At 54.9% G+C, this 18538-nt stretch overlaps 1 protein-coding gene and 2 long non-coding RNA genes across 16 annotated transcripts in view, besides 6 other annotated features; 1 reads left to right on the top strand and 2 right to left on the bottom strand.

Moving 5' to 3' along the window:
- Nucleotides 1-16977, top strand: part of PIK3R5 (phosphoinositide-3-kinase regulatory subunit 5) — an 86792-nt gene extending 69815 nt beyond the window's left edge. For 5 of the 14 annotated variants that reach the window (NM_001251852.2, NM_001142633.3, NM_001388399.1 and 2 more), the window contains 14 exons: nt 2238-2307; nt 4981-5155; nt 5767-5920; nt 6671-6754; nt 7002-7722; nt 8210-8372; nt 8672-8797; nt 9288-9416; nt 9571-9664; nt 11110-11186; nt 14012-14105; nt 14181-14263; nt 14876-14988; nt 15107-16977. In NM_001251852.2, coding sequence (NP_001238781.1) covers nt 7265-7722; nt 8210-8372; nt 8672-8797; nt 9288-9416; nt 9571-9664; nt 11110-11186; nt 14012-14105; nt 14181-14263; nt 14876-14988; nt 15107-15254 — 1485 coding nt within the window. In that variant the 5' untranslated portion in view covers nt 2238-2307; nt 4981-5155; nt 5767-5920; nt 6671-6754; nt 7002-7264 and the 3' untranslated portion in view covers nt 15255-16977. Of the gene's footprint in view, nt 1-2237; nt 2308-3979; nt 4057-4980; nt 5156-5766; nt 5921-6670; nt 6755-6939; nt 7723-8209; nt 8373-8671; nt 8798-9287; nt 9417-9570; nt 9665-11109; nt 11187-14011; nt 14106-14180; nt 14264-14875; nt 14989-15106 lie in introns of those variants that run through there. The other 9 variants (NM_001388398.1, NM_001388397.1, NM_001388396.1 and 6 more) reach the window with 9 other exon arrangements.
- Nucleotides 753-952: an enhancer, noted in NCBI's record as "active region_11715". NCBI's record gives its function as "activates an Ori minimal core promoter by ATAC-STARR-seq in GM12878 lymphoblastoid cells {active_cell/tissue: GM12878}" and the evidence as "EXISTENCE:reporter gene assay evidence [ECO:0000049][PMID:35858748]".
- Nucleotides 963-1032: an enhancer, noted in NCBI's record as "active region_11714". NCBI's record gives its function as "activates an Ori minimal core promoter by ATAC-STARR-seq in GM12878 lymphoblastoid cells {active_cell/tissue: GM12878}" and the evidence as "EXISTENCE:reporter gene assay evidence [ECO:0000049][PMID:35858748]".
- Nucleotides 3459-3568: an enhancer, noted in NCBI's record as "active region_11713". NCBI's record gives its function as "activates an Ori minimal core promoter by ATAC-STARR-seq in GM12878 lymphoblastoid cells {active_cell/tissue: GM12878}" and the evidence as "EXISTENCE:reporter gene assay evidence [ECO:0000049][PMID:35858748]".
- On the bottom strand, nt 3939-8271 carry LOC124903922 (uncharacterized). Its single transcript, XR_007065613.1, has 2 exons — nt 8193-8271; nt 3939-4105 (listed from the first exon to the last, which is right to left on the bottom strand). It is a non-coding gene; the product is annotated as an uncharacterized LOC124903922 (long non-coding RNA).
- Nucleotides 6345-7153: an enhancer, noted in NCBI's record as "H3K4me1 hESC enhancer chr17:8792057-8792865 (GRCh37/hg19 assembly coordinates)". NCBI's record gives its function as "activates a minimal SCP1, AML or CMV promoter by ChIP-STARR-seq in primed H9 embryonic stem cells {active_cell/tissue: H9 hESC(primed)}" and the evidence as "EXISTENCE:reporter gene assay evidence [ECO:0000049][PMID:30033119]".
- Nucleotides 7154-7962: an enhancer, noted in NCBI's record as "H3K4me1 hESC enhancer chr17:8791248-8792056 (GRCh37/hg19 assembly coordinates)". NCBI's record gives its function as "activates a minimal SCP1, AML or CMV promoter by ChIP-STARR-seq in primed H9 embryonic stem cells {active_cell/tissue: H9 hESC(primed)}" and the evidence as "EXISTENCE:reporter gene assay evidence [ECO:0000049][PMID:30033119]".
- On the bottom strand, nt 9599-18511 carry LOC124903919 (uncharacterized). Its single transcript, XR_007065610.1, has 3 exons — nt 17589-18511; nt 10710-11327; nt 9599-9675 (listed from the first exon to the last, which is right to left on the bottom strand). It is a non-coding gene; the product is annotated as an uncharacterized LOC124903919 (long non-coding RNA).
- Nucleotides 10836-10999: a silencer, noted in NCBI's record as "fragment chr17:8788211-8788374 (GRCh37/hg19 assembly coordinates)". NCBI's record gives its function as "represses an EF-1alpha promoter that drives an FKBP-Casp9 reporter gene in an ReSE screen in K562 erythroleukemia cells {active_cell/tissue: K562}" and the evidence as "EXISTENCE:reporter gene assay evidence [ECO:0000049][PMID:32094911]".

Below are 18538 nucleotides of genomic sequence, written 5' to 3'. Positions count from 1 at the left end.
CTGCTTGGGAACTGTTGGTACCTTGGGTATTCAGCACCAGCCAAACAACTCTGAAAATCACTCTCTCTGGGTCAGAGTGTGCCAAGAGGCACAGGTATCCTCCTAAATATCCCCCATTAAAGCAACGGGACACATAGAGCAACAGTCGCGTGGAGTCCACGTAGCTCATACGAAGCAGCTTCTGATTCTAACTGTAGCACAATCCTAAAATGAGACTAAGGCACACGAATATAGATGTTAGAGACTGCTCCTCATCCTAGAGACAAGAGGAGACGAAGGAGCTTCAAGGAGAAGGTTGTCAACAGTACCAAGCACTCCAAAACAAAAGTTCAAGCAGCGTGAGGATGAGGTTGGGCCGTTGGGTATGGGGACGGGGAAAATGTTGCCAAGCTTCAGGAGAGCAGGGTCAGGAGGGCAGAGGGGTTGGAAGCCAATGGCTGGGCGTGTTGGAAGAAAGCTGATGTGGAGGGAGAGCGACGTCAGAGTCTACTGCTTCCTGGAGTATGACCGCCTGGATGTCCTTGGTCAACAGAGGCAGAAGTGGCGGTGAAGAAATGGGGTCAGCGGGGTGTGGGTTAATGTTAAAAGCATTAAACAGTAAAAGAAAAGAGAAATAAGGTCAAGAGAAGATTTTGCGTATCTATGTGTTTTATGGTCAGGGAGATGGGGAATATCTGTTTGTCTCCGCTATGGTAGCTATGGTATTATGTAGAGGTGGTTGGAGAGCGGGTGAGGATCTCTTCTCTGTAATGCACGTGAGTGGCCACCAGATGGTGTCCCAAGTCCTGATGTAATAGCCACTGTGTCAAGGACTTATCTGGCAAAATGGACCAAACGTTAACTTCTAAATATGCGATGATTACATAAAGTAAACATCACGCAAAAGGCCAAAAATCAAAGCAATTAGGTCCCAAGTTAGAAGAGCATTATGTGGTAATTTTCTGCCTTTTACTAAAGGAACCTCACAGCCTTTCTATTTATAGCTGTCTTTAAACCCCAACCCCCGCCCTACCCCGCCCCCGAGACTTGCACTTCTGAGGGGACGTCCTGCAGGTTCCCAGCTCAGTCCCAGTTCAGAGTGGCCCTGCTCTCGATGGGGACTGCCCTGGGCCTATTTCCAAGCTATGACAAGAAGGCGACCCACCCCGCTGGGTCCCCAGCCCCTGCTCTGTGAGGGAGTGAACTCCCGCTTTCTGTTTCATCTCCTTGTCATGGTGGAAACAGAACTGAATGCACACTGTAAAGCGACTACTGTGCACAACAGAGTCAAGCTGCAGAAACAAAAGGAAAACCTTTGGTGTGTTTCTTCTCAGCATTTGGAAGTCAGAGGAGACAGAGAGGGGGAAGGGCCAGGGAGAAAGGGGATGCGGGCTGGGAGAGGAGCCTGGGATGCAGATGCCTCAGAGCACGGAGGACGCCAGGCCAGACCACAGTCCTTCCCGATCCCCGGACTCCAGGCAGAGACGGGGAGGTGCAGGTGGGGAAACTCGAAACCCACTGCCTGGCTGGAGCTAAGGCAAAGTGGATGGGCTGAGAGGTGCCTGGCATAGCGGGAAGGCACCCCGGACCGGGAGAGGGGGCAGCGGCAGGGACCGAGGAGTAGCCCTGCGGCACAAGACGGGGCAGCCTCCTGGGCCCAGGTTCTGCCTCCTGCGATGCTCCGCCTCCCAGTCTCTGAAGAGAGAAACTTTAAGTTGGTCAAGCCATGGTGGGGCCTGGGAATCATAGACTGTTAAAGGCCTCAGAGGCCACGGATCTAATCTGGCCCTTCCCAGGAGAAACTGAGGCCCAGGGCTAAAGTGACCTGGCCAAGGCCACGCAGAAGAGCTGGAATAGAACTCAGGCTTCCGACACGGGCTCTCACCCTGGATCTCTTTCTCTCCAGCTAGGCTGCCTCCAAGCCTGGAGCCGGGACCTGAGCCACAAGGGGAGTGGAAAGCTCTTAGGAAGGGAGGGCAGTCAGAGAGGCCACGGGAATCCAGAGGACAGCGAGGCCCAGGACCGAGTTTTGGTGTTGGAGGTGGAGGTGGGGATATGACTCGTGAGGTGTAAAAGGACGCATAGAAGCAAACTGCTAGGCACCCTGGAGGGTCCACAGAACAGCTTCTCTGCAGGTTCGCCTGAGCTCCATCCGGGAATTTCCAACCTGATTGTCCAGTGCTTGGCTCCCCACGAGGCACACGGACGATGCTGAAGGAACTGATCAGCCCATGAACTCTTTTCTTCTTGACCCACAGGGATCTCCTACCAGAGACTGGTGAGGGCTGAGCAGGGCCTGCCCATCAGGAGTCACCGCAGCTCCACCGTGTGAGTGCTCTTGGGGGACGGAGAAACAGTGGGGAGGGAGTTTGGGACCCCTGCACTGTTCCACCTTCACCCTCCTCCCCCACTCAAACATCCAGTGCCCCCACCCCCTGTCCACCCCAGCCAGCAACAAACAGGCTTCCAGGGAACTGGGAACCCCCTGGCACTGCTGGTGATATTTTGTGTCCAGGTGTGTTTTTCTAGGCTGACGGTCTTTCACCAGATTCTTAAAGAGGTCTGTATCAATTATGCCAGGTGTTAGGCACACAGTTCCCCCACTTTCATTATTTTCAGATGAGGAACTGGAGGTCAGAGAGGTCAAGCAACTTCCCCAAGGTCACACAGCGAGCAAGGGTACGAGCCAGAATTTAACCCTCAGGCTTATTCAGAAGCCCATGATATTTCCACAATCTCCTTCTGTCTGTTACTAAAACAGTGTTTCCAAACTTTTTTGACCAGGACCTATAAGAAAAATCCATTTTATATGACAGCCTGATACACAAACACACACACACACACACACACACACACACACACACACAGCTGAAATGAAATGTATCCTGGTTACATAGGATGAGCTCTGTTCTATTCTATTTCATTTAAGAAACAAATTTGGCTCCCCAGATGATTTCATTACCCACTCCTGTGTCCTGACCTGCAGTTTGAAAAGCACTAGAGAGGGGGTGCCCATTAGGAGGACCCTCTGCAGGCCTTGAAGAGTTGGGTGCTGTCTCACCTTGACATGTTGGGAGCCCAGGGACCCCGGCCTTCACCACCTCAGAAATTATAGGCCCCCGGCCCTCCTCATTCCCAGCCCCAGGGGTTCACTTCCCACTCACTCCCCTGAGCAACACTTCTTGACTTCCCTCTAGGTGAAAACAAACACAAACAAAATGATAGATGTTGAGACAGAGGGAAAGGATGCTAAAATGTTGTAGTTTAGTAAGTAAATAAGATTCCTCTGGGGGAGCTGGGGCAGGTGGGCTGATGAAGAATCATCAAAGCCCTTTAGACCTTTATTCGGACTCCAGGCACCATCCTAAGCATGGTTACATGTGCTGACTCATTTAATCCTCACGTTAACCCCGTGAGAAAGGGATTTTTCACATAAGGGAAGTGAGGCACCGAGAGATTTGTAGAAAGAGCTTACAGTTGGGAGATGGTCTCACTTTCATTATCTGTAAATTGAGAATGATGATAAATTCTTCGGGAGAGAAATTATGCAAGCTGGTGAGGGCAGGGGCTCGGCTGGGCTCGTTACAAGGTTGTAAGGGGCTGCTTATACAAGCCCACCTCCTTTTTCTTACAGATAGAGAAATCAAAGTGAGTTTCTTCCCAAATGATGGGGACTTTGACAGAGACTAGTCCTGTCTCTGCCCTGTCCCCGGGCACCGACGTCCCCAGAGTGTGGAGGGAATGCTGCCCTGCGTGGTGCTCCTTTGCACTGGGTTTAAACGCAGTGTGGAATTGAGAGAGCAAGAGCTCTCATCACATGCAGCTCATACTAAAGCATTTATGGATACAAAGCCGCCATGGCTCGAATTTGCTTCGAGGTCATGCAGTGATGGAGGGGTTGGCATGGGGGAAGTGAGAACAGCCGTGCGTTGTTAACTGTAAACAGAGTGATCAGCGCCTCAGAGCCCACGATTCTTTTAATTTGGGGTATGTTTGAAAGTTTCCATAGTAGCCGGGCGCGGTGGCTCACGCCTGTGATCCCAGCACTTTGGGAGGCCGACGCGGGTGGATCACGAGGTGAGGAGTTCAAGACCAGCCTGGCTAACACATTGAAACCCTGTCTCTACTAAAAATACAAAAAAAAAAAAAGTTAGCTGGGCGTGGTGGCGGGTGCCTGTAGTCCCAGCTATTTGGGAGGCTGAGGCAGGAGAATGGTGTGAACCCGGGAGGCGGGGCTTGCAGTGAGCTGAGATCGTGCCACTGCACTCCAGCCTGGGTGACAAGAACAAGACTCCGTCTCAAAAAAAAAAAAAAAAGAGAAAGGTTCCATAATAAAGAAATGTAAACACTGGCACCAAGAGGGAATCTGGGTATCCATCGGGAAGGGAGGTAGCAGTGGCCAGGCACACAGTCCCCTCCCAGCCAGTGAAAGCCTGTATCATGGCTTTGGGCTGATTAGAAAAGGTGTCCCTCATAAGCTCAGGAAGAAGATGCACTCTGACTTGGCATCCCCTCCTCCGGGCAGATGCAGCCCCACGGCACGAGGAATTTCATGTCCCGCTCGCCCCAGACCACACTGCACAGCACCACGTTGCTGTCCAGCTCCCCCTGAAAACTGATCGCTTGGCTTCAAGTCACCTTGCCTAAAATATGATCCTCATTTGAGTAATCTTGCATCCACTCAGCTGTCTCATAGGAAAAAACGTTTATATAAAAATTAAGTAAATTTAGTTTTAAAGAATTAAGTTCAATTTTGAAAAGATCTTTGAAAACAACAGCTGAAAAATGCTCAGCAGTGAACCCCACGCTTTCCCCTGGAAACCTGGACCCTGGAGCTGTTGCTTCTGTCCTGGCCTCCTGTGGTCACCTCCTCGAGCTCTGCCTGGGCTTGAGGAGGCCCTGGTCTCAGTGGAGCTGAGCACCAGCAGGCACGAGGGGGGTGGCTGCACTGTGGCATGCTGCGCACCCCTGGGTGCCATAGCCGGTCCCCTGTGTCCCCAGCACCGTGCTGCTGCTGAACCCAGTGGAAGTGCAGGCCGAGTTCCTTGCTGTAGCCAATAAGCTGAGTACGCCCGGACACTCGCCTCACAGTGCCTACACCACCCTGCTCCTGCACGCCTTCCAGGCCACCTTTGGGGCCCACTGTGACGTCCCGGGCCTGCACTGCAGGCTACAGGTATGTACCTGGGGCCTGGGGCTCTGGTGGAGCACCTCTCTGAGGAGGTAGCACCCTCTCCCTGCTTCATCTCAGCCACGGTCTCCAGGGTACACTTAGTCTCCTGCACCCAGGTGACATGGCAGGGTGGTGGCTGGAGGGCTGACCTCATAGAGGGTGTTTCTGGTGTGCTGGATCCTAACCAGCTGGGTGGCAGCCTGGGCAGTAGGACTGGGTGCTGATAACTGGTGCCTCAGAAGATGGCATATGCCATAAGAACGAGAATGAGCTTTGGGCTGAAGACCTGGCATCTAGGCCTGGCTCTGTCACAGGTGTCACAGGTCGGCTGTGTCACCCCACACAGCTCCTTCCCCTCTATGGGGTACAGTGAGGAGCGCTGAAGTCCCTCCTAACTGCAGTGCCGTGGCTCTGGATCTTTCTCTCCTGACCATTTCCTGAGAATGGAAGGGCAGGGAGAGGCCTGGCTGCCTGGCCAGCTGTGGGTAGGAGATGGGTGATGAGGCTGGGAGGGGACAGATCACTGCCTCCCTCAGTAAGAAGCTAGCAACTGGAACAGGTGGACAGCTAGCTCACGGTCCAGGAGCAAAGCCCATCTCCTCCTGGGGTTTCAGGCCAAGACCCTGGCAGAGCTTGAGGACATCTTCACGGAGACCGCAGAGGCACAGGAGCTGGCATCTGGCATCGGGGATGCTGCAGAGGCCCGGCGGTGGCTCAGGACCAAGCTGCAGGCGGTGGGAGAAAAAGCTGGCTTCCCTGGGGTGTTAGGTGAGGCTCTTGGGAGAATGGGGTTCTCCCACATTCCCCATGGCCTATTCTAGGTCCCAAGGTGCACGGTCCAGGCGGGCCTGGTGGCTCTGCTCCACACAGTCACTCAGGGACTCAGCTTCTTCAGCATCTCACTGCTCTGCCATCCCCTAGGGTGTCTCATTCCTGTCTATAGGGGCAGGGTGGGGGTGCTATCATGATGGCAGCTTGTGGGAAGAGGAAAAGAGAGTGCTTACGAGGGCAAAGGCTGGGCTTTTCTGTTGAAGGTGATGCAGAAGCTGGGCACATCACTTCCGCTCATGTTCCTTTGAGCCCGCCTTGGTCACGTGGCCACATCTTGCCCCAAAGGAGCCTGGGAAACATCGTCTCTATGACTCCAGTACCATAGAAGGGAGCACAGACTTTGAGGAACCATTAGCATTCCCTGTTACAATATTCCTCATAAAAACCTTCTGGGCTAGTACTATTATTCTCCCATGGGCACATTGTAAAATGAGGCTCAGAGGTTGTGGTTTGGCCACATTCGCACAGCTCATAAAGGGCATGCCATCTACATGGTGTGCTTGAAAGAAGGGCCTCTGGCTTGGAGCCTGGCACCCTGGCTGTAACTCAGCCTCAGCCTATCCAGCTACATATCCTTGTGCCGATCCTGTCCCATCTCTGGTCTCTTCTCCAAGGCAAGGGGACTGGACTGGCCAATCTCCAAGGCCTCTTCCCAGCCCTCTTCTCCTATCCTCCCTGTTCTTACAGACACTGCAAAACCAGGGAAGCTCCACACCATCCCCATCCCTGTCGCCAGGTGCTACACCTACAGCTGGAGCCAGGACAGCTTTGGTAAGGAGCCGGGGCCCTGGTGACACCCATGCCCCACACTGCCTGAGCTGTGTTTCTGGTCCTGGGTCCATGCAGCTCCCACCCCGTCCCCAAAGCTCTCCCACATGAGCAGGCTCTAAGCAGAGCAAGGGGGCAGTGCTAGGAGTCCTGGGCTGGCCCTGAGTCCTGCTGTCTCCCCTCCAAAGGGAATATAGAAGGGGATCCGGGGCCCAGACGCCCAGACAGTGCTGGCCTTGCTTCCCTGCAGACATCCTGCAGGAAATCCTGCTCAAGGAACAGGAGCTACTCCAGCCAGGGATCCTGGGAGATGATGAAGAGGAGGAAGAGGAGGAGGAGGAGGTGGAGGAGGACTTGGAAACTGACGGGCACTGTGCCGAGAGAGATTCCCTGCTCTCCACCAGCTCTTTGGCGTCCCATGACTCCACCTTGTCCCTTGCATCCTCCCAGGCCTCGGGGCCGGCCCTCTCGCGCCATCTGCTGACTTCCTTTGTCTCAGGCCTCTCTGATGGCATGGACAGCGGCTACGTGGAGGACAGCGAGGAGAGCTCCTCCGAGTGGCCTTGGAGGCGTGGCAGCCAGGAACGCCGAGGCCACCGCAGGCCTGGGCAGAAGTTCATCAGGATCTATAAACTCTTCAAGAGCACCAGCCAGCTGGTACTGCGGAGGGACTCTCGGAGCCTGGAGGGCAGCTCGGACACGGCCCTGCCCCTGAGGCGGGCAGGGAGCCTCTGCAGCCCCCTGGACGAACCAGTATCACCCCCTTCCCGGGCCCAGCGCTCCCGCTCCCTGCCCCAGCCCAAACTCGGTACCCAGCTGCCCAGCTGGCTTCTGGCCCCTGCTTCACGCCCCCAGCGCCGCCGCCCCTTCCTGAGTGGAGATGAGGATCCCAAGGCTTCCACGCTACGTGTTGTGGTCTTTGGCTCCGATCGGATTTCAGGGAAGGTGGCTCGGGCGTACAGCAACCTTCGGTAAGAGCCGTAATGCGGAGCATCCCTCTGCCCTGGGTAACAGGGTTGTTGTGCTGGTGGAATCTGGGGCCTGAGGCTTAGGGCCCCAGAGGAACCAAAAGTTCCCTTATTTATTTTTATTTTATTATTATTATTATTATTATTATTATTATTATTATTATTATTATTTTGAGACAGAGTCTTGCTCTGTTGCCCGGGCTGGAGTGCAGTGGCATGATCTCGGCTCACTGCAACCTCTGGCTCTCCAGTTCAAGCGATTCTTGTGCCTCAGCCTCCCGAGTAGCTGGGATTACAGGTGCACACCACCACACCTGACTAATTTTTTTTTTTTTTTTGTCTTAGTAGAGATGGGGTTTCCCTCTGTTGACCAGGCTGGTCTTGAACTCCTGGCCTCGGGTGATCCACCCACCTCAGCCTCCCAAAGTGCTGGGATTACAGGCGTGAGCCACCATGCCCATTCCCCTTCTCACCATCTTCTTCTTGCCAGGCGGCTGGAGAACAATCGCCCACTCCTCACACGGTTCTTCAAACTTCAGTTCTTCTACGTGCCTGTGAAGCGAAGTCATGGGACCAGCCCTGGTGCCTGTCCACCCCCTCGGAGCCAGACGCCCTCACCCCCGACAGACTCCCCTAGGCACGCCAGCCCTGGAGTATGTCCCCAGCCTGGGCCAATGGTCGGGGAAAGTAGAGTTCTGGCTACCTGAAGGAAGCCGATTGGAAGTCATGGAAAGCAAGCACCTGTGTTGACAGGGCACCTCCCCCTGCCTGGCCCTCACTCCCTGCACTTGGACATGACATTTTGCCATATGACAAAGACTGAAAGTTGTCATACTTCCCCAAGGGCAGGGAGAAGCTCAGCATGGGGCTGCAGGTGCCATCCAAGGCCCTGGAGCTAGGATGGGCAGGCCTCCTGGGGAGCTGGGATGATGACTCTTGTTCTTTGCCCTAGGAGCTGGGCACCACCCCATGGGAGGAGAGCACCAATGACATCTCCCACTACCTCGGCATGCTGGACCCCTGGTATGAGCGCAATGTACTGGGCCTCATGCACCTGCCCCCTGAAGTCCTGTGCCAGGTAAGTGGCCCCGTGGTTGCGGAACAGGGTCCACTGGCTGCAGTCACCCAGCCTCACTTAGAAGGCCCTGGATTTAGGGAATCAGGCTTGAGGCCCCCATGGAGGACCTGGGCCCTCTTGGAAAAGATCAGGGAGTGTGGGTGAGAAGCAGGACTGAGCCTGAACTCAGGACACTGAGTGTGAGAGCTGGGGTCACTGCAGTGATGGAGGAGGGCCCTCAGAAGGGTCCGGGGGACCTCAGATTTCAGCCCCCTTCCTCAACTCCCGCCTTTGTCTGGCTAAGCCAGAAGCCTCCCTGGAGGCCAGTGGGTCAGGTGAGGGGCATGGAGGCTGGGCACCGGCCCTCCCCTGCTTCCTGCTTCCACCTCACCAGCTCCCCCTGACTGGCTGCCTCTATGTCTCTCTTCTCTCTTCCTCCCTAATTCTTGCTCCTTCTTACCATCTATCCACCCACCCATCTGGCTTGGCTGCCCCTTCCCTCTGGCCACAGCAGTCCCTGAAGGCTGAAGCCCAGGCCCTGGAGGGCTCCCCAACCCAGCTGCCCATCCTGGCTGACATGCTACTCTACTACTGCCGCTTTGCCGCCAGACCGGTGCTGCTGCAAGTCTATCAGACCGAGGTAAGGCCTCCCTGCCCCGAACCGCCTCTTCCCCACCTGCCGGGCCTGCAAGGCCCCACCCCTGCCCCGGGAGAGCCAGCAGGTCTATGCTGGAGGAGCCAAATGGGCCCCTCCAGGAGGTTCACACTGATGTACATGCTCCTGCCCTCTCCAGCTGACCTTCATCACTGGGGAGAAGACGACAGAGATCTTCATCCACTCCTTGGAGCTGGGTCACTCCGCTGCCACACGTGCCATCAAGGCGTCAGGTGGGTACTGCCTGAGCAGAGACAGACGGTGAGGCGGGGCCTGGGACGCGAAACGTGGAGCTCTGTGGAGGTGGGGTTACCTGGGAGGTGGGGCCATGGGAAGGTGGGGTTGCACAGGAGGTAGGCCCCTGGGGAGACGGGGTTACCGGGAGGTGGGGCCATGGGGTGGCTGGGTGACCCGGTAGGCGGGGCCCTGGGGAGGCAGGGATACGGGAGGTGGGGCCACGGGAAGGTAGGGTTACCCAGGAGGCAGGGCCATGAGAGGGCGGGGTTACCTAGGAGGCAGGGCCATGGGGAGGCGGGGTTGTCCGGTAGGTGGGGCCTTGGGGAGGCAGGGTTACCGGGAGGCAGGGCCATGGGGAGGCGGAGTTACCCAGGAGGCGGGGCCCTGGGGAGGCGGGGTTACCCAGGAGGTGGGGCCATGGGAGGGCGGGGTTACCCAGGAGGCGGGGCCATGGGAGGGCGGGGTTACCCAGGAGGTGGGGCCATGGGAGGGCGGGGTTACCCAGGAGGTGGGGCCATGGGAGGGCGGGGTTACCTAGGAGGCAGGGCCATGGGGAGGCGGGGCCCTGGGGAGGCGGGGTTACCCAGGAGGTGGGGCCATGGGGGGGCGGGGTTACCTAGGAGGCAGGGCCATGGGGAGGCGGGGTTGTCCGGTAGGTGGGGCCTTGGGGAGGCAGGGTTACCGGGAGGCAGGGCCATGGGAAGATGGAGTTACCCAGGAGGCGGGGCCCTGGGGAGGCGGGGTTACCCAGGAGGTGGGGCCATGGGAGGGCGGGGTTACCCAGGAGGCGAGGCCATGGGGAGGCGGGGTTGCCTGGTAGGTGGGGCCCTGGGGAGGCAGGGGTACCGGGAGGCAGGGCCATGGGAAGGTGGAGTTACCCACGAGGCAGGGCCCTGGGGAGGCGGTGTTACCCAGGAGGCAAGGCCATGGGGAGGCGGGGTTGCCTGGAAGGCAGGGCCCTGGGGAGGCACGGTTACCGGGAGGCAGGACCATGGGAAGGGGGGTTACATGGGAGGTCGGGCCAGGTGGAGGCAGGCTTACCCAGCAGGTGGGCCCTGGGGAGGCAGGGTTACCCAGGAGGTGGGGCCCTGGAGAGGCAGGACCCTGGGAAGGTGTGATCACAGCGGAGATGGGGCCCTGGAGAGGCAGGACCCTGGGAAGGTGTGATCACAGCGGAGATGGGGCCCTGGAGAGGCAGGACCCTGGGAATGTGTGATCACAGCGGAGATGGGCCCTGGAGTGATGGGGTCACTGAGGAGGTGGAGATCCCCAGAACGTGGAGCCAGAGAGAGAGGCAGGGCCTTGGTGAGACAGATCCCTAGGGAGTCACGGTCCATGTGGTAGGGGATGGGGAGGTAAGGCCCAGGGAGGCAAGGCCACTGCGTTCGTGAGGAGCCGGGGAAGCCAGGGGTAGTGAAGGGTCTGTCTGTGTGTGGCACAGGTCCTGGCAGCAAGCGGCTGGGCATCGATGGCGACCGGGAGGCTGTTCCTCTAACACTACAGATTATTTACAGCAAGGTAAGACCCGTGCTGGGGCTCCTTCCCCTCCAGGATCTGCTGCTGATACTTCCTCCGCCAGAGCTTGGACCCAGAGCTGGACTCGTGTGTTCCTGGGCCCCAGTCTTTACGCTGGAAGGCTGCAGCAGGCTCCCCTGGATGCTGAGAGAAGCAGAGAAGGGAAGGAGTGGATATCTCTGTGCTTCTTGGCCTCCAAAGCCTCTCTCCCACCATGTTCTCTGCCCCCACCCGAATGCGCTCAGCAGCAGCCCAGGGGTAGGGGTCTGCTGGGCCTGGCTACAGGGCTGGGGCTGAAAGGGGGAAAGGGAAGCCTTCCAGAGGCACCTCAGGGAGAAGCCAGGGTCTCGGGGGGCCAGTGTGCCTGGCAGGCTGCATGCAAGATGGGATTGGCGTGAGAAAGGAGTGAGGAGAGCTGTGGGGAGGTGGAGGGCTGTCCATGACATGCCAGAAGACATGAGTTCTCTGAGCAGGTCGCATCCCAAGGTCCAGGCTGAGGGAAGCTTGGCCTCACAGGTGGGCTTCTTCCTTCGGCCATTCCAAAGATATCCTCTTAGCACCTGCCCATGCTGCCTCTGTGCTGGGCAGGGGAAAAGAGGGGTTGAGCAGGGAAGCCTAGGCCTCACTTTAGCTTGTCTAGAGGAGGGAGACAGACAAGAAACGAGGAAACAAAGAAATAGCCAAGATAATTCCAGAGAGCGGCAAGTGATGACAAAGCAATAAAACAGCAGATGGACGGTGGTGTTGGGGCTGCAGTGCGTTTGGCAGTGAAGGAGGTGGGCAGGAGGCACCGACACTCACTGTAGCCACATGCCAGGTGCTTGCTAGACGTCTTCCACAGCCCAGGCACTGTTCTAGGCCCTGGAGCCTTCCTAAGAGTGAACAAAGGACAGACGTGGTCCCAGGAGACCTGCTGGCCCCCTGGAGTGGGTGGTAGGCATTGGTTCGATGATGCACACGATGTAAAATTACAACTGTGACACATGGATGAGGAGAGGGACACGGGATGTTCCTAAGTGGCAAACCGAACCCAGTCAGGAGAGTTAGTAGTGAAGGCTTCCTTGAGAAGGCACCTGAGTTAATATTGGAGGGAAAACCAGGAATTAATTAGGCTGAGAAGAGAGGTGAGTGCTCTCACAGCAGCAGAAACTGCATGTGCAAAGGCCCTGTGGTGGGAGGCAGTGTGAACACCTTGAAGCACTCTGAAAGAAGACCCCCAGGCTGGAGCAGAGACAGCTGGTGGGAACATGATGCTGAGGTGAGGCTAAAGAAATGGGGGACCAGCATACCAAGAGCCTTAATTGCAATGAAAGGAGTTTTGTGGTTTTTTGTTTGTTTTTTTGAGACATAGTCTCGCCCTGTTTCTCAGGCTAGAGTGCAATGGCTCAATCTTGGCTCACTGCAACATCCGCCTCCCTGGTTCAAGCAATTCTCCTGCCTCAGCCTCCTGAGTAGCTGGGTAGCAGGTGCCCGCCACCACACCCGGCTAATTTTTTGTATCTTTAGTAGAGACGGGGTTTCACCACGTTGGCCAGGCTGGTCTCGAACTCCTGACCTCATGATCCACCTGCCTTGGCTTCCCAAAGTGCTGGGGTTACAGGCATGAGCCACCACGCCCGACCCAATGAAAGGAATTTTATCCTAGTCCTAAGAGCAGTGGATATCCATTAAGGGGGCTTATGTTTGTGGTGGGGCTGGGAATGCCTGTGACATGATTATATCTGAGGCTTGGAAGCTCCCTCTGGCAGCTCTGTGGAGGACAGATAGGAAGGGTCCACAAGTGATGCAGGAAGGCCAGTTAGGAGGCTGTTGCCATGGTCCAGAAGAGAAATTAGGGCAGCAGCCTGCACTAGGGTAGTGGTGGCAGAGCTGGAAAGGAATGGGAGACAGATGTGAGTGATGTAATCAGCAGGGCCCATGGATGGGTTAGGAAAGGAGAGGCCAGACTCCTGGAGTCACTCCTCTGTGACTGGCAGCACCATCTTCTCTGGGGGGACCACAGGAAGAGGCCGGGGTCCAGTTGGGGAAGAGCTTGAGTTTGGGTCGGGACATATTATTGAGGTTGAGAGGCCTTGAGAGGTATAAGGAGACAGTGAGAATAGACGGCTGGCTGAACGGGCCTGACTTTGTGGTGAATATGAAGATGGGTGGACAGCTGCTAATGGAAAAAGGTCACGGAGGAGACTCCTGAAGGGGGGAAGCAGGGAATACAAAGAGCAGAGGACCAAGGGGAGAACCTTGAGCCCTTCATGATGTAATGGCGGGCAGAGGGCAGCGATCCAGCAAAGCAGAGAGGCACCAGCCAGAGAGGCGCTAGAAAAACCAGGAAGGTGCCATCACGAAAGCCCAGGAGAGGTTTTCAAGGAGGGGAGAGCAGTGAACTGTAAGGTCAAGTAAGCTGAGGACCAAGAAGTGTTCTTCGGTTTAACAACATGGAGGTCCCTGATGACAGAGACATTCACACAAAGACTTGAAGAGGGGGTTCAGGTCTGGCTCTGCCAGAAACAGCATGTCTGTGGGCCCAACCCTTCTTCACTCTGGGCCCGGCAGGAGAGCTTCAGGACCACCCCTGCAGGTGCTCTCAGCTCTTGTACCTTTCAACCTGGTCACAGAGGCTGCTGACCCCTAGACCAAGCCAGTGACGTGAGCTCTTCCCTGGAGTCATCCAGGTCTATCCAGGGTGGTACAGGGGCCCTGGTGAATAAGAGAGGGCTTTCTGGGGATATGCTAACTAGAGGCAACCCCCTGTCACTGATGGGCCTTCAAAGAGAAGGCAGCAGGCACCGGGGCCTCTGGACTCAGAGGGTCTGGCTACACTGCATTTCCAGGGGGCCATCAGTGGACGAAGTCGCTGGAGCAACCTGGAGAAGGTCTGTACCTCCGTGAACCTCAACAAGGCCTGCCGGAAGCAGGAGGAGCTGGGTGAGTGGGGTGGTCAGTGTGGGGTGTGCAGTAGGGAGGTGCTCTGAGCCTGGCCTGAGTGTCCTTGCCCCTCAGATTCCAGCATGGAGGCCCTGACGCTAAACCTGACAGAAGTGGTGAAAAGGCAGAACTCCAAATCCAAGAAGGGCTTTAACCAGGTACGGGCTTCCCTCTCCTTCCAGCCATACCCTCAAGAGACTTACTGGAGCGTGCATGTGCGTATGTGTGTACGTGTGTGTGCACATGTATGTGTGTGCATGTGTGCACATACACACCCGTGTGTACATACTTGTGTGTGTGTGAGAGAGAGAGGAGAGGTGGGGGAGGAGAGGCAGGGTGAGGGGTATGATTTGGGGATGCACACAGGTGTGGAGTGTTGCGGGGTGTCGGGGAGGTAGGGGTGCCCTGTGAGAGGACGCGTGTATGTGGAAAAGTTGTGGGGTGGGTGCCAGGAGAGTCCTAAGACTCTGAGACCAAAGAAAGCAGGCTCTGGATCAGGGGACCTGGGGCTGCTCCGGTGAGGGCAGCAGGCAGGGCAATGTCTCCTCAGGGGGCACTTGCTTCTTCCAGATGCTGGAGAGGAGGCAGGGGCTGATGGAGGCCTCAGGCTCCCTCCTGTGACCTGGCCATTAACCCTGGAGCGCAGTCAGACAAACCCCTGCCCTCCCACACCCCTAGAAGTGGATGGGCAGTTCTGAGAAAAGGAACTGCCAGGGGCTGGCAGTGTTGGATGGCCAGGGATTTGGGGCTGACCTGGGCCTTCCTTCCAGATTAGCACATCGCAGATCAAAGTGGACAAGGTGCAGATCATCGGCTCCAACAGCTGCCCCTTTGCTGTGTGCCTGGACCAGGATGAGAGAAAGATCCTGCAGAGTGTAGTCAGGTAGGAAAGGGGGGTCCTAGGGAGGGGAGCAGTTTCTGCTCCCACCAACCCAGAGGCCTGGAAGGAGCTGGAAGGATGGGGGCCTGCTCTGATCCCTGGCCCCTGCCCTGCTGCACAGATGTGAGGTCTCACCGTGCTACAAGCCAGAGAAGAGCGACCTCTCCTCACCACCCCAGACGCCTCCTGACCTGCCGGCCCAGGCCGCACCTGATCTCTGCTCCCTTCTCTGCCTGCCCATCATGACTTTCAGTGGAGCTCTGCCCTAGTGTGGGCCCAGCGCCAGACTGGACAGAAGCCCTGGGGCAACCTCCTCGGCCACCCCTCCAGGACAGTCCCTCTCTGTGGAGAACTGAATGGCCCTGTGCAGAGCCATAGTCCCACTGTGGGTCCTGCAATGAGCAGGGGCTGGGAGTAGAGGGTTTCTGGGGCCTCAGGGTTCTGGGAAAGCAACAGCTATCAGAGAGAGAAGGGCCAGACCCCATAGCCTCTTAGATTCCTGGCAGTAGAAGGAGAAGGATGGGTAAATTGACCTCTGAAGTCCCTGACCATTAGCATGGTCTAGGATCCTTTCTAGAAGGAAGATCTGAGGCTCTGGTGCTCAGGGGGATGGCTTGGGCCTTTTCTCTCAACCTTGGCTGAGCCTACCCCTTACTTTGCCAAAGACTTGAGGACCCTGTATGTCTGGAGTTCAGTCCCCTCCTCTGTGGGGCTCAGGTGATTGAAATGTGGATGAAACATTTCTCTACTTCAAGACCACCTCTCCCTGCAAACACCACACACACATGGCATGCATGTACGCACATGCGCACACACACACGCACACACCTCAATAATTTCTCTCAAGTTTCCTGAGTCTCCAGAAAAACAGCACTAACGCTGGACCTGTCTACTCTCAGAACCCGGCACAGATTCTCTCTTGATCTCCTTTTGGAATCTGAGATTCTTAGAAGACAGGATAGGGTTAAATTTAGTAGCAGCTCAGTTCTAGCTAAATCACTAGAGGAAGTTAATTAACTTTAAGCCTTCATTTCTCCAGCACTAAAATGGAGTGGAGAGTTGGGGTGGAAATAAGACATCCTTAAAAGGTTAAATTGTCTGCAAAGCACCTAGCCCAGTGCCGAGCTCCCAGTAGGTGTTCAGTAAAGCTTAGTGCCTGACTTTCTGAACACTGATTCCTCCTGTTTGGAGTCACTGGGATACTCTCATTGCCGTTGGGATGTTCCTCACTCCTTCCCAGTTCGTGGCTGAGGCAGAACCCAGACTGAAGAGGGAAGAGACATTCCAGAGGAGGATTGCCTTCGTCAGGGTAAGGGGTGGGCTGCTCAGGGGCCCTACCCTTCACCCCCTTCTGTATCAGATTGGCCCTCCCACTCCCATCTCACTCTGCGTGTACAATCTTCCATATCCGCAAGTTCACTGGCACTCTTCTGGCACCTGGGCAAGATCCCAGAACAGAGGATGGAGTGACTGGCCTCACAGAGCTTAGTGCCCGACTCAGGGGAAATGGGACTGGTGCATGGGAAATGGTCAGCCTAGGATAGGACACGAGAGTCTGAAATTCAAAGCAACCAGCTTGAAGTGGTTTGAGAAGCTGGAAGCAAACATGGGCTAGAGAGATAGGGCAGAAGTCAAGACGAGGATCTGGACTGATGTGGAGAAAGTAGCCACGGAAGCATGAACTGTATCCTGCACAAAGTCCCTCTTCCCCGCCTCCTAATTCATTATGCCCAAAAGGCCTTACGTGAAATTCCAGCCCAGAGTACTCATGACTTGAGAGACGTGGACAGAGCCAGCTTCTACCTTGCCTGGCCGTCTCTCCCCTGTCTTAATGTCTGCTCTTGCTCTAAGCTCCAGAAGAGTGGCGGGCCATGTATCTTCAATATGTTTTTGCTGTATGGGCAGGTTGTCTTATTATGTGATCAACAGATGTCCAGGAACTAATGAGTGGAATTTAATATTATTGTCAAATAAAACTTGATTTGTCCTATATTTAATGACCAGTAGTTACTTTGCTGCATGACCCTGCTAGTTGGACAGTTTATATAAATCATTTTATTTATACCAGAAAGAAGCTTCATAGGGGATTGTTTTATTTCTCTTTTTGTAATTTTCCACCCTATAGAAAATATATTTGGGTGAAAATTTTCCCCAATACTGTTCTGCTTAAGCCTCATCATACTCACTGACCCACAGAACAAAAATTCCTACACCTAAGGACTCAGCATTTGGGGTTTCCTGTGCTACTTCACTTGAGAAATATATACCCATATATCCATCTGTTTCCTGTACCCCAAGCTCCAGGGAGGGGACGGGCCTGAGGCCGTTGCTGCGGATGGGTGGCACAGTGGATCCTGGACCTACCATGCAGCTGAGAGGAGGGGAAGAGAGCTCAATAATGGCCCTTTGGATCTGGGACTGCCTTTAGACTTGGGTGATAAGGAAAGAGAGAAGAAGAAGTGGAGGGATGGTAGAGGACACCTGTGGCTTGGGAGAGGGAGGTAAGTACCAGGTTGCCAGAACACTATTCAGGATGGAGGGAGAAAGAACTGTGAGCTGTTCCAGCTCTGCATCAGCTGGCTATTGCAAACAATGAAGCATACCTTCAATTCAGGGAACTAAGTCTCCGATCATTTGTTCTTGCTCATGCATCTGGAGGACATCTAGGGACCACCTGATCTAGGCTGGGCTCAGAGTGGCTTGGCTCCAAGCTGCAGGATGGGTGCAGATCTGCTTCGTTGGTCTTTCAGACACATTGGACCAGCATGAGAGGCAAGCAGAGACACGCGATGCCTCCTAGGAATGGAACCTGGAACAAGAACAATATTCCTTCTGCCAATAATTGGCTAACACTGATGAAGCACATCAACCCACAGACTTAATAAACCCAGCAAATTTTGCACAGGAATTTTGACACAGGAATCTCCACACAAGAAAAAAACAAAATCACATGAGAAGTGCACTTTACCTTTGATGTTCTTTCCATAACTCCAGTCTAATCAAGAGTAAAAAAGATCATATAAACCCAGACTATGGGACCAGATAACCTGACCAGTACTCTCTTACTGTCACAAAAAATAAGGAAAGACTGAGAAACAAAAAGAGATGGAGTAAACCTGAAAAATAAGCAGTAGACACTGGCTTGTATCCTGAAACATTAATCCAAAAACTGGTAAAATCCCAATACAATCTGGAGTTCAGTTTTTTCTTAAACACACACACACACATACACACACACACACACACCCCTTACTGTCAAACTTCTAAAGAAAAAAAGGTAATAAGAAAATACTAAAGACAGAGGAAAATAATACACTTTATCTTCAAAGTAGCAACAATTAAACTGAGAACTCTCTCTTTCAATAGAAACAATGGAAGCCAGAGATGATGAAATGATATCTTTAAAGTATGAGGGGAAAAAACAAACCTACTAACCTGGAATCACACACCCAGAATTGTCTGATAATACTTTTTTAAAAAAAACTTATAAACTGCAGCGGTCGGGCGCAGTGGCTCACACCTGTAATCCCAGCACTTTGGGAGGCCGAGGCAG

This window comes from Homo sapiens, chromosome 17, assembly GCF_000001405.40.
Source record: "Homo sapiens chromosome 17, GRCh38.p14 Primary Assembly".
Taxonomy (NCBI): Eukaryota; Metazoa; Chordata; class Mammalia; order Primates; family Hominidae; genus Homo; species Homo sapiens.
Note: the sequence above shows the minus strand (reverse complement) of the source record. Positions and strands in the feature narration are given on the sequence as shown.